This window comes from Homo sapiens, chromosome 10 (assembly GCF_000001405.40).
Source record: "Homo sapiens chromosome 10, GRCh38.p14 Primary Assembly".
NCBI classification, from domain to species: domain Eukaryota; kingdom Metazoa; phylum Chordata; class Mammalia; order Primates; family Hominidae; genus Homo; species Homo sapiens.
This window is the reverse complement of record NC_000010.11, coordinates 62,248,663-62,262,103: the sequence shown is the minus strand read 5'-3', so window position 1 is coordinate 62,262,103 and position 13,441 is coordinate 62,248,663. Positions and strand designations below refer to the sequence as shown.

Sequence of the window (13,441 nt, the reverse complement as noted above, 5' to 3'; positions counted from 1 at the left end):
GCTAATGAGATTTAAGATTTGCTAAGTATTAATAACTTCTGCTCATGTGTTCTGTCATCTCATGCTGTTCTTTTAGATTAGATCTATGATTTGTATATGAAATTTATATCCTAACTTTTTACAATGCCAAATCTTACTTGAACCTAAGAATTGGTTCAATTTAGAGGCTGGATTTTGGTGTATTTTAAATAAAAACAGTCTTACATTCCCCTTTGTTGATTCACAGCTCTGACACAAGGGAAGAGTTTCTTGTTAGACAATAGTGACTGTTGGGCTCAGCATAGCATCATTAAATTCTTGAAAAGTAAGTTAAAAACACCAGTCAGAGTCTGAGATTTCTGTAAAAGTAAAATTTTGATGAGGATGTAATGTAATAGAGACCTGGATACAAAGTAGCCAACCTTATTAGCTATATTGCCATGGGATAGCTTTTATTTATTTATTTATTTTTTAAAGACAGAGTCTCGCTCTGTCACCCAGGCTGGAGTGCAGTGGTGTGATCTCAGCTCACTGCAACCTCTGCCTCCCGGGTTCAAGCGATTCTCCTGCCTCAGCCTCCCGAGTAACTGGGACTATAGGCGTGTGCCACCACACCCAGCTGATTTTTTTTTTGTATTTGTATTTTTAGTAGAGATGGGGTTTCACCATGTTAGCCAGGATGGTTTCAATCTCCTGACCTCGTGATTTGGCCACCTCGGCCTCCCAGAGCGCTGGGATTACAGGCATGAGCCACTGTGCCCTGCCGGGATAGCTATTTTAATCTCCTTGTGCCTCAGTTCCTTCCTTACAGTGGGCATGATAATATTTACATTTTGAAAATTGAGATTTTATATATACAAAAACCTAATGTAATGCCTTTTACATACTTAGTACTCAACAAATGTCAGTTTTCATTCTTATATGCCTCCAGCATTATACAATGAAATTGTTCCATTAGCATAATGTAGGAAAATGTTTTTCAGATAGGCATACATTGGTTTAAGTGAGTGCTTCTCAAAGTTGGTAACTTGTAGCACTGAGAGTACATGATGCAAAGTCATAGAATAAATATGGCATGTCTTCTTAGAGCATGAATTTTTAAGATTAAGCATGAGAAGTTTAGAATAGTGGAGTATTTGGAGGTTCTGCTTTCTTATTCCTGGGGATAGGGGATATATGTTCCCTCTCAGCCTTTTTATTAGGATATTTTGTCAAGAGGGGCAGTTTCAATGGAAAAGTTTGAGAAGCCCTGATTTTAGAAAGTATGGGACTAAACATTATATTATGTCATCTATCACAATATCTGGAATATTATTTTTGGGACCATATCTGCCTCCATATTTAATGCTCTTTAAATATTTATAATGAGTTATGAATTGACTGTTTCTTAAATTCGGCAGTGTGGCTTTTCTGAAGTTGCTGATGTATAAAAACTATTAAATAAGCCTAATGCCTGTTCAATTTATATAGCAGTGATGGGGAAAAATTAGGATCCCTAACTGGAAATGTGTATGATTTTCAGTTTCTTTACTAATTATCTGTGATAGATGAGAATATCTTTGTCATTATACACACACACACACACACACATATATTTGTTCATCATTCATGTAAAAACAGTGTTTCCCTTAATTATTGCTGGAATTTAAAAAAATCTTGTATAGTCTATATGTATTCTTTGTTTATAGCTTCATTTTGTATGTGAAGATATAACCTGAGGTGACTGATCAGATATAACTAGAAATTATAATTGCTTTGTTATTACACAAAAATGACTTGAAGATTAATGATTTAGTTCCTTGAAGAAAGTTATGTAAATTATGCAGATATACTGAATATCTACCGCTTGCAGAACACTTATTAAGCCCTGTGCTAGGGTGTCTATGTTAAAAGAACAGAATTTGTCAAAATATGACAATATTGTATATTCAGCAAATATTTTGCCTTTAGAGACTTAGCAGTCTGTACCTTAGTTTGGTTAGTCCTTAAGGTGGAAAAATGCTCAGTTTTATATTGCTGCCAGAGTTAAAACAAATAGCATTTTAATGAGAACACTAGTCTACCTTCTCTAAATTTTATGATAAGATGTCAAAAAATAAGTATAGACACTAAATCTAGACTTTTTCAAAGAAGAATCCAATAAGTGTGAAATGGTGGAATTGACGAATATCTAATAGAACAATTGGGTTTGGATCTTCTAGATTGTGAAGGATGGATAGAGTCCAGGTAGGTGAGCAGGAGGAAGGCAGCATTCCGAGAAAAATTACAAAAGAGGCCGGGTGAAGTGGTTCACACCTGTAATCTCAACAGTTTGAGAGGCCAAGGTGGTCAGATTGCTTGAGCTCAGGAGTTCGAGATCAGCTTAGGCAACATGGCAAAAACCTGTCTCTACAAAAAAGACAAAAATTAGCCAGGCATGGTGGCATGTGCCTGTACTCCCAGCTACTCAAGAGACTGAGGCGGGAGGATTGCTCAAGCTTGGGATATCAAGGCTGGAGTGAGCTGTGATTGCACCACAGCACTCCAGCCAGCGCAAAAGAGTGAGATTCTGTCTCAAAAAGAAATAGCAAAAGAAAAATTTACTTTGAAAAATAAATATGAATTATTCAGGAGCAGGGAAAAGATCTGTTGTGTTGAGTCTGAAGATCAAGGCAAAGATGAAAAGGAAGGAGGAAGCAAGATTCAAGAAAGCCTGGAATGCTACAGAGTTCTTTGGTATTAATTAACAGCCTTTCCAGGTGCCAGGCATTGTGTAAGATGTTCACAAATATCACATTAAAAATGGAGAAAGATATTGTATTAGTTCATTTTCACACTGTTAATACAGATATACCCGAGACTGAGTATTAAGAAAAAGAGGTTTAATGCACTCACGGTTCACATGACTGGGGAGGCCTCATAGTCATGGCAGAAGGCGAAGGAGAAGCAAAGTCATCTCTTACATGTCAGCAGGCAAGAGATCATGTGCAGGGGAACTGCCCTTTATAAAACCATCAGATCTTGGGAGACTTACTCACTATCATGAGAACAGTGCAGGAAAAACCTGCCCCTATGATTCAGTTACCTCCTGATGGTCCCTCCCATGACACATGGGGATTATGGGAGCTGCAATTCAAGATGAGATTTGGGTGGGGAGACAGCCAAACCATATCAGATATAAACCTCTTTTAAAGGCTGTAACTCTTTAAGGATACACAGTGCCTTTGTGGCTAGGTCATGAATCCAGGTGACTTAAAAACCCATGTACCTCCATCTCCCACTCCGTCCAAAAAAGAACCTGTGCTTTTTTTTAACTATTGCTCCAAGCTGCCATGGTGAGCTATTACAGGGCTTTATATATATATTTGCTTACCCGTGAAAATATCTTTTATGTTACATATACACATGTATATTTCTTCATCATTCATATAAAAACATTGTTTCTCTTAATTATTGAATTCTGGAATTAAAAAAATCTTGAATATTCTATATCCTGTTATGTTTTATCATTTTATTTTAAGCAAGGAAGAAGTATGATAAAAACAAGTATTTGGGGAAGGTTATTTGGCAGCAGGGTATTAAAAAGATGAGAGTAAATAATTGAAATAACCAGTTTTTAGGGAAAATATTTAAGAATAGGCAGACATAGAAATGATCATATAAAGAAGTAAGCTTTTATTAGAGAAATGAGGAAATCAAAACTGTGTGTGGATTTCTTTAGGGCTTTTCTAATAGATCTTCACTCAAAGTGCTCTCTGTACATAATCATTCTGCAAGAAGTTTTAAGTTATTTCTCAATCCAGTGAAATTATTTAAGAAGTCAAATAATCTTACTTCATTCTAAAGCCTTTTAAAACTCGGGTTCCAGGAAAGAATTAAGTCCTAATGTCCTAAGAAGTTCATTGTATGCATTGACTTAACTGCTGCATATAGAATAGTGCTACTTTTGTACCACCCTTGGAAGAATTCAATCAATGGTTACTCTGCTTTAGATGAGGAACCACAGTTAAGAAATCACTAATATCATTTGTTGTTTTTTTAAAACCACACAATCCTGAGAATATTGGCAACTGGTTAAATGTTCTATTACCATACTGTTCCAATAATATAACAAAAACTTTTTTCTAAGTTGTGTTTGGGTATGAAATACCTAGTACATTGCCTGTTCTTTATGCTTGAACAAGCCAAAATACCCAGGCTTCTGTACAGTTCCCAATGGAGTCAGGATGTAAAAACCTTTCTGGATTGGGTAGGCAGTAGGTCGTTAGGATGAGGTGCATAGGTTGCTTACTGCCTCAATTTAGAGGTATCGTGGCTTGGTTATAGCAGTCTGTTAATTTGCTGGACTTTTGACTAGTAAACTATCATTGTACCTTTTTTTCTGCATGCTGTGGCTGGATATGGCTACTTAAAAGATGGTTTATTTCAGTCTACTTTCAAAAAATAGCTATTGGTTTCCATTTACTGAAATAGGCATTCCAGAATCCTTGTGGTCTGATCCCAAACTCCTTGCACTCTTATCTTTCAATTTCTGCTTTACAAATTTATTGCAGCCAAATGCTTGATTGGTATCCCGAAAATAGTTCTTGGATTTTCACATCTCCAGTGTGTTTGCTTACACTGAAGTGCCATATCTTTCATTCTCACTTGATAAAACCCACTTGTTCTGGGACACCACACCTGCCTCAAAGTTTCCTTGATAATTGTATTCAGAAAATAATTATTCCTTTATGTCCATGGTAAGGACCCAAAAAATGACTATTTACCTCCTTTTACTTCTAGTACCATCCAAATCATGAATACCTCACTATAACATACTAAATTCTAATAGAGCTATTTATAAGCAACATATCTTTTCATAAATTATAAGCTTTTGGAAACAGGGACAATGTCTGATTCTTCTTATCAGTGAAATAGAATTGATATCACCATTAATTTCACAGGATTACTGTGAGGATTTGGTGCCTGGAGCTTAGAGGCAACTCATAGCTGAGGTAACTCTTGGTTCTCTCCTTCTTTCTACCTTATATCCCGCAGAACACCAACAGTGTTGTGTACTTACTTAAGAACAATTTAATGTATGCTTCATAAATAAAGTTTTGCCTTGTATCCCCTTAATGTGTATGATGAGCAAATAGGGCTTAGAATTTAATAGGAGTTAATTATATACCAGTTACTTTTTTTTTTGTCACCTTCTTTTATGTTCTTAGGTTCTTACTGTCATTTGTTGGTCTAAGTGTCTGTTCATCATGTTCCAGATTGTCATTTATTCCTAACTATGTTTGCTTTTTAATCAACTTTTTATTATGAAATTTACATACGTAAAAATTACAAGAATAGTACAATCAACATCATGTATATTCTCCCCCTAGGTTGTCCAGTTAATAGCTTGCTATATATATTCACTTCATCTACTCTACCATTTTTTCTATACACACACAGACACACACACGCATACACAAATACACATACTAGCATGTGTATACATGCACACATTTTTCTTTTTTGTTGTTGAACCATTTAAAAATAAGTTGCAGACAACATGGCACACACACCACAATAATTTGGCATGGATCTTTTAAAAATAACATTCTTCTACATAATCAAAATATTATATACAAAATATTAGTAATTCCATAATAATCTAATATCCCGTCCATATTCAATTTTACCAAGTTGTCAGAAGAAAACTGTTTATCTTTTTTTCCCCCAAACCAGAATTCAGTCAAGATCTATGCAGTACATTTGGTTATAACTCCAGTTTCTTTTAATTACTCTGCCTATTTCTAAAAACCCCTTGTCATTTATACTTAGAAGAGCCTCGGCAAGGAATGGTGGCTCACGCCTGTAATCCCAAGACTTTGGGAGGCTGAGGTGGGAGGATGGCTGTAGCCCAGGAGTTCAAGACCAGCCTGGGCAACATAATAAGACCTCGTTTCTACAAAAAAATACAGAAAGATTTAGCCAGGTGTGATGGTGTGTGCCTATGATCTCAGCTACACAAGAGGCTGAGGCAGGAGGATCACTTGCATCCAGAAGCTTGAGATTGCAGTGAGCGACAATCATGCCACTGCACTCCAGCCTGGGCGTCAGAGTAAGACCCTGTCTCAAAAAAAAAAAAAAGAGTCTAGATTTTAAAAATATAGCCTTTAAAGTATCCTGCATTCTGCATTTGCCTGGTTGTTTCCCTGAAGTATCATTGAACCTTTTCTCATATTCTGTGTTTTTGCCATAGATGGACATTGAGTCTAAAGGCTTTATCAGACTCAAGTTAAACATTTTTTTCTAGGTGAGGCTGGGGACCATTATATGCTCCCAATTGATGCAATATGATATCTGGTCTTACCACCAGGTAATGCTGAGTTTAAACCCTTGCTTTAGATGGCAGTTGCCAGCTTTCTTCTTCATGATAAAATGGTTTTCCCTTTGCAGTTCATAAATAATCTGTGGGGTGTTGGAATTGGGTGACTATTCTGTTATCCAATGAGCTTTAACTTAATGGCTTTATCATCCATTTATGATTCTTCCCTAAATCAATTACATTTATAATGGGGTTTGTAAAACTGTGATTATCTAATTCTAGTATTCCTTCTACACTTATTGGCTGATACTCTTCTATAAAGAAGGACAATCCTCTCTTTAGTCTCTCCATTCCTGGATTTTTATTCAATGTTTTATTATCATTTATAGTCACTAAGAATCTCTTGCTTCCTGACACAAAAAGACGATCCATTCTTGCTTTATATTTTCCCTGCCCCATGCCTAGAGTCAGCCATTTCTCTGACACCTGGCTCCCTTTACTGGTGAATCATATTTTGAATGCCAAACCTGGGCACTAGGTATGCTCACGGTTCCTGGGGTATCACTGCTTCTAGGCTTTTTCAGTGGACATAGTGATGAAAGAGATGAAAAAATCATGAGTTTATATCAATATTTATAGGTTTTTGATTACAGTACCAATATTATTACTGACAATAAACCTACTTAGGCAAGTTCAAGATTTCCTTACAATTCTTTTTTAACATACAGAAATTATGAAAATTTTCCAACATACAGAAAAGTTGAAAGAATTATACAGTGAATACCCATATACCTACCACTAAGGTTCTACAGTTAATATTTGTTTTATCCCTCTGTCCAGTCCATTTTATTTCATTTTTATTTTTTAATTTTTTTAGAGACAGGGTCTCACTGTGTCTCCCAGGCTAGAGTGCAGTGACACAATGATAGCTTGCCGTAGCCTCAAACTTCTGGGTTCAAGTGATCTTCCTGCCTCAGCCTCCCAAGTACCTAGGACTACAGGTTCATGCCAACACACCCAGCTAACTTATTTATTTTTTGTCTCTCAGCTTGCTTATTTTTTTATTTTGTAGAAACAGGGTCTTGCTATCTTGCCCAGGCTGATCTTGAACTCCTGGCCTCAAGCAGTCCTCCCACCTCAGCCTCCCAAAACACTGGGATTACAGGCGTGAGCCACCATGTTCAGCCTAATCTATTTTATTTCTTTATGACACAATTTAAAATAAGTTCTTTGCAGTTCTTTGTGTGTGTATACGTATATATACACATATATGTACATCCCTGTGGATATAGGTGGAGAGTACTCAAAAATTACTTGAAATAATTGTATTACTTTGTTCTCACAATGCTATAAAGGACCACCTGAGATTGGGTAATTTAAGAAGAAAAGAGGTTTAATTGACTCACAGTTCTGCATGCTATACAGGAAGCATGGCTTGGAGGCCTGAGGAAACTTACAGTCATGGCAAAAGGGTGAAGGGAAAGCAAGCATTTCCTTCACATGGCGACGGAAGAGCGAGCGAACTAATGGGGAAATGCTACACACTTTTAAACAACCAGATCTCTTGAGAACTCACTATCATGAGAATAGCAAGGGGGAAATCCGCCCCCATGATTCAATCACCTCCCACCAGGTCTCTCCCCCAGCACTGGGGATTACAATTCAACATGAGATTTGGGTGGGACACAGAGCCAAACCATATCAATGAACTTTTTCTTATGGTCTTGTTATTAAATCATAAACAGACTTATTTGTTTCTGTTTGCTTTTTTTCTCTTTGAATTAATTACTTTTTTGGATAGATAGTGTTTCTGTGTCCTCCTTCCCAGTTTCCAATTAGTAGCTCTTGTCACGGTTCCCACCCCAAGAATCAGCCACTATTCTGACTTTTTTTTCCACTGTAGGTTAATTTTGCCTGTTCTGGAACTTAGTATAAATAGAACTATACAGTGGAGGTTTCTTTCTTTCAGCATAATGCTTTTGAGATTCATCATGTATCAATTATTTTTTTTCCACTGTATCACTTTTTCCAGTGTTGATTCTTTTCAAATTTCTGTATAGTTTTGGTCACATGCCAGTCACTTCAGGTAGATGTTTTTAAAATAGTTTTTCTATATTTTTTATTGTTTTCTGTGGGAAGATTTCTCCAGCATGAGCTACTCTGCCATTACCAAAAGAGGAATTTTAATTGATTAAAATTGCATTTTAATCAAATAAATTTTTATTTTTTCTACTTTATGGAACATGTTGAGGTTTTCTTTATGACTTAATATGGTCTGTTTTCATGACTGTCACATTGGCTTTTGAAGTTACATTTCTTTTTATAAGGGTGTAAAGTTAGCCAAAGGAGTTCGAAAGATCTGTGTTAATGACTGTGTTAGGTTTTCTGTAACCTTCCTTATTTTTTGACCCATTGAACTGTCTTGTACTGAAACAGATAGGTTAAGATTTTTTATTATTAAAGCTTGTCTTCATCCTTGTATCTTCTGTACATTGTGCTTTAGGAAGATGCTCTGTAACATTTGGTACATTCGGTACTTGCGATATATTCATTGTTAGCTGCAGCCTTTTGCATTATAAAGTGTCCTTCTGTTGTTGTCTCAGGTAATGTTTTTGAACCTGAATTTTGCCTGGTAACAAAATCACATCCTCTGTTTTCTTATTTGTATTTGTTTCATACATCTTTGTCCATCTCCTTATTTTTAGCCTTTCTGACTCACCTTTGAAGACTTGTTTCTTGTGTTCATCCTAGAGTTGGGTTTTATATTACAAGCCAATCTGGAAATCCTTTTAATGGGAAAATTAAGACATTTTATATTTACTGATATAACTGATATATCTGGTTTCAGCCACTGTAATATTCTTTTATATTATGTTAACTGTGTGTATTATAATTAGTCTTTTACTATGTGGTCTGTTTTCTTAAATTTTGGAAGCATTTTATAAGTCATAGTAGTTACTATAATTTTATATAAAAAAACTTTATATACCGATAACTATATAATGCCCTTAGTTCTTATAAGTTTTTTTATGTATTTCCCTTAGCTCCACGAGCCAACTAAACCTCTTCTTAATTTACCTAGCCTTAGGTATTCCTTTATAGCAATGCAAGAATGGCCTAACTCAGGCTTCTGCTATTTTGATTTTTTGCTTTTAGTAATATCATTTTTTTCCAGCTACTATCTATGTCAAGATCAATGAGCTTATTGTATTTCCCCTACTCCACTTTTTTTTTCAAGTTGTGTTATTTCTACTTTGGTGGAATGGATAATATTTACATAATAATCTTATAGTCATATCTTCACCTTTGTTTTAGTCTTTGATATGCAATTAAATAGGTATAATTTTCACTTCTTGTTCTTCCGTTGTACTTTCCAAAATCATCCTTTTGGAAGAAGTTCATCAGCTAGAAGATTCTTCCACATGAGTACGGTTTCCTTCACTTTCTTGCATGTTTAAGGTGTTTTTCTTTAGTGTTTCTACTTTTAGGGTGACTTTGCTAGTTATAAATTCCTTAGCCAACACATTCTTTCCTTGAGTTTTGTGAAGACTTTGCTCCATTGTATTGTTATTAAGAAATCTAATCTTTCATTTTCTTTCCTTTGTAAATGAGTTTGACTTTTTGCCTGGAGACTGAAAGTACTTTTCTTTATCTTAAAGTCTGATTATTTTACTGGAATGTGTGTAAGGCTGACCATTTGGCACATTTTGGGGCTCTTTTGATATGTAGATTGTTCTTTTTTATTTTCAGAACATCTTTCTGAATTATATAAAAATATTATTTCTATCTCATTGTTTTGTTTTTCCTGTTTAAGAATTCTGATTACATATACGTTGGCTCTTCTTTGCCTGTCCTCTGTGTCTATCACTTTCTGATCTTTTTTAATACTTTATTTCATTTTTGTTCTTTTGGTTCTTTTCATTCCCATTTACTATGTCTCTTTGTGTACTTTTGCTTCTATATATTTATCATTGGACACCTTATATTTTAATGTTCATTTCAGAAATGATTTTATTTTTCCAGTTTCTCTCCTTGTTCTTTCCTCTCATTCTCTCCTCTCTTTGCATATCTGCCTATTGTTTATTCTTTACTAGTCTCAAATTTTGGATTTTAGATTCCTGGTTTCTTTCATATTTGCAATAATTTGTATAAATGCACTTAATTCATTTTGGAGTATTGTGTTATGGTTTTTGTTACTTTATATTTTTTGGAGGTGGAGTTGGTAGAGGATTTTAATCAAATGAAGAGTTTTGATTATCTACTTTTATTTATAGTAGTTTTCTATGGGTAATTGGAGTCCATTTTTGTCCCTAATGAAATATGTAGGATTTTTCTGAGCCAAGTGATTAGAAGTCAGGTGGGAGGTTACTAGAAGGGATCACAGGACACCTTACCCTTGAGGGGGTATGTTCCATCATCCTTCCTGGATTCCTGAAACCACAGATAATACTAAGCCCTATGCACACTATGTTTTTTCCTATACATACACCCCTATGATAAAGTTTAATTTGTAAATTAGGCACAGTAAGAGATGAACAACAATAACTAATAATAAAATAGAACAATTATAACAATATACTGTAATAAAAGCTATGCAAATGTGTTCCCTCTTTCAAAATATTTACCCTTTTTGTGATGATGTGAGGTGATAAATTGCTTTTGTGATGAGTTTAAATGAGATGAATGTCATAGGCATTGTGGTATAGCATTAGGCTACTGTGGACCTTGAGCACAAGCACTGTGATACCTTGAGAGTTACTCTGATAATCTAGATGGCAGCTAAGTGACTAATGAGCAGGTGATGTGTACAGCATGGATACACTGGACAAAGGGATGATTCACATCCCACAGGGCAGTGTGAGGTTTCATTACACTACTCAGAATGGTGTGCAGTTTAAAACTTATGAATTGTTAGGCCAGGCACAGTGGCTCATGACTATAATCCCAGCCCTTTGGGAGGCCGAGGTGGGTGGATCACTTGAATCCAGGAGTTCGAGACCAGCTTGGGCAACATCGTATAACACTGTCTCTACCAAATAACATAAACATTAGCTGGGCATGGTGGCATGTGCCTGTAGTCCCAGCTACTCAGGAAGCTGAGGTGGCAGGATTGCTTCAACCCAGGAGGCGGAGGTTGCAGTGAGCCGAGATCATGCCACTGCACTTCAGCCTGGGCAACAGAGTGAGACCCTTCCTCAAAAATAAATAAAAATAATAAAACTTATGAATTATTTATTTCTGGAATTTTTCATTTAATATTTTCAGACTGCAGTTTACTCTGGACAACTGAAACCATGGAAAGCAAAACCATGGCTAAGAAGAGAATACTGTATTTGGTTTCTTAGTTCAAGAATGTTTTTTATTATTGGAACTGTGAAGAGTAGTTTCCTTAATAAATGATGTCTTTTGGGATGCTGGTTGGTTAATTTTCTGTTCTTTGATACTAATGTTTGAAACTAGTGTTTCTTGGAATATTAAACTTCGTCTACTTTCTTCCTTCTTTTTCTTCGTAGCCAAGGCTCCAAAGGACACCTCACTCATTCTTGTGTATCTTACAGGACTTAACTTTTGAATCAAAGTACTTTTGGAGCCCTTTCTTTTACCTCTCCTGGAACCAGTGCTCTGGTATCCACTAGGTCTTAGACCCATTCACACTTCTTCTAGGGGAAATCCCAAGTTGATATTGCTTGTGTTTTGCAATGCCCACCTCATTCTTATATGCAAGGCTTCTACAAGCTGGTTTTGACGGTTTCAGATGTTAGTTTCCCCATTTACGGTAAATTAAAATTTGTAGAAGTCTCTGTTTTCTAGCTATGCTGTTGGTGTGGACTGTAGGTCATTTTATTTGCTTTCCTTGTTGATCTGAAGGCTTTTGTAGAATGTGTGAAAATAATCTGATTTAGATGGCTACTACTGTTTTACAGGAACTGGTAAGTCATTCCCTGATCACTTTAACAAATGGTTTAGTGCCTCTTCTATGTGAGCCCCAACCTAAATACTGAGGCCAAAAATATAAATACTCAGAAAGTAATCCTTGTATTTGTGTAACATTTTGAAGAATGACATAGGATACATTTAAAATATTAATTCATTTAGTATCTCTGTGAGATAGTGAATCTTTTTGCCACTTTACAGATAAAGATGCTGAGGTTAAAAGATTAATAGCAACCCACTTATGTAATTAGTTAATAATGAGTAAAATCCAATTCTAAGACTTTAGAATCCCTATCTACTGCCTGTTCCATCAAAATGAACGTATCCTTACTTCATTTCATTTAACAGTCCCTAAACATTCATTGAGTTCTTTAGAATGTACTGAGCTGAATACCAAGCACTGGTGATAGAGCACTGAACAAAGTAGACGCCCCACCCCCACCCCCACGCACAAAAAAAGTACACACGGAGCTTATATTTCAGCAATATCCTCCATCTGTGCCCTTCCCACTGCCCCCACCACCCCCCAACCCCGCAACCCCTGCTCAACCCAGTTCATTCTTCTTGACCTACTTCTGAAATGCTTTATTTGGCTTTGTAAAAACAATACTAATCAGTGTCATTTATAGCACTGAATTATGTGTGTCATTCAACATAATTGTGATTTTTAATATTGCCAAAATAATTTTGTGAGCTTTGTATGATTATTATCCTACTCTCTCATCCTCCAGTGTTTTTGTTCATTGCTCAGGTACTGTATCTCAAAAAAGAAAACGTATAGGTTGGAAGTGAAAATTGTGTACTCTTAGTTCTATAATAAAACTTGTATTTAAAGACATTACCGATTTTATTTTTAAGATATTTATGAAGCTATAAATTTTATAGCATAGTTTTAGGATGGGTTAAAATTTCATGCTAAACGTTTGAGTGTTTTAATTTTTACTTATTTGTATCAGAGGTAAAGGATTTTATAACCTGCTTTCAAATAATAGACTCCCATTTAGAATTATTTTAGTACTTCGTTAAGAAAATGTAAAATGCTTTCATCATTGGGCTATTTCTCATTATAACTTGTTAATTTTGGCAAAGAAATGCTGTTTTAAATTCCCGCTTGGAACAATATAAGGTAGGATAATCTGTATTTACTCAGTCAATTTTAATACAAATTTTTGAGCAACAATGTGGCAGATTGGCACCCTCTTTTGGTCATTTTATTTACCTACAGGCAGAAATATAAGTAATAAAAAT

The 13,441-nt window shown here is 35.5% G+C and overlaps 1 protein-coding gene and 1 long non-coding RNA gene across 10 annotated transcripts in view; one reads left to right on the top strand and one right to left on the bottom strand.

Annotated features, from left to right (window-relative positions):
* Window positions 1-2,938, bottom strand: part of LINC02621 (long intergenic non-protein coding RNA 2621) — a 44,902-nt gene extending 41,964 nt beyond the window's left edge. Inside the window, exon 1 of the long non-coding RNA NR_186389.1 lies at window positions 2,854-2,938. This is a non-coding gene — a long non-coding RNA (long intergenic non-protein coding RNA 2621). The remainder of the gene's footprint in view (window positions 1-2,853) is intronic.
* RTKN2 (rhotekin 2) overlaps window positions 1-13,441 on the top strand; it is an 84,945-nt gene that overhangs the window by 6,741 nt on the left and 64,763 nt on the right. The gene's annotated exons all lie outside the window — the stretch shown is intronic.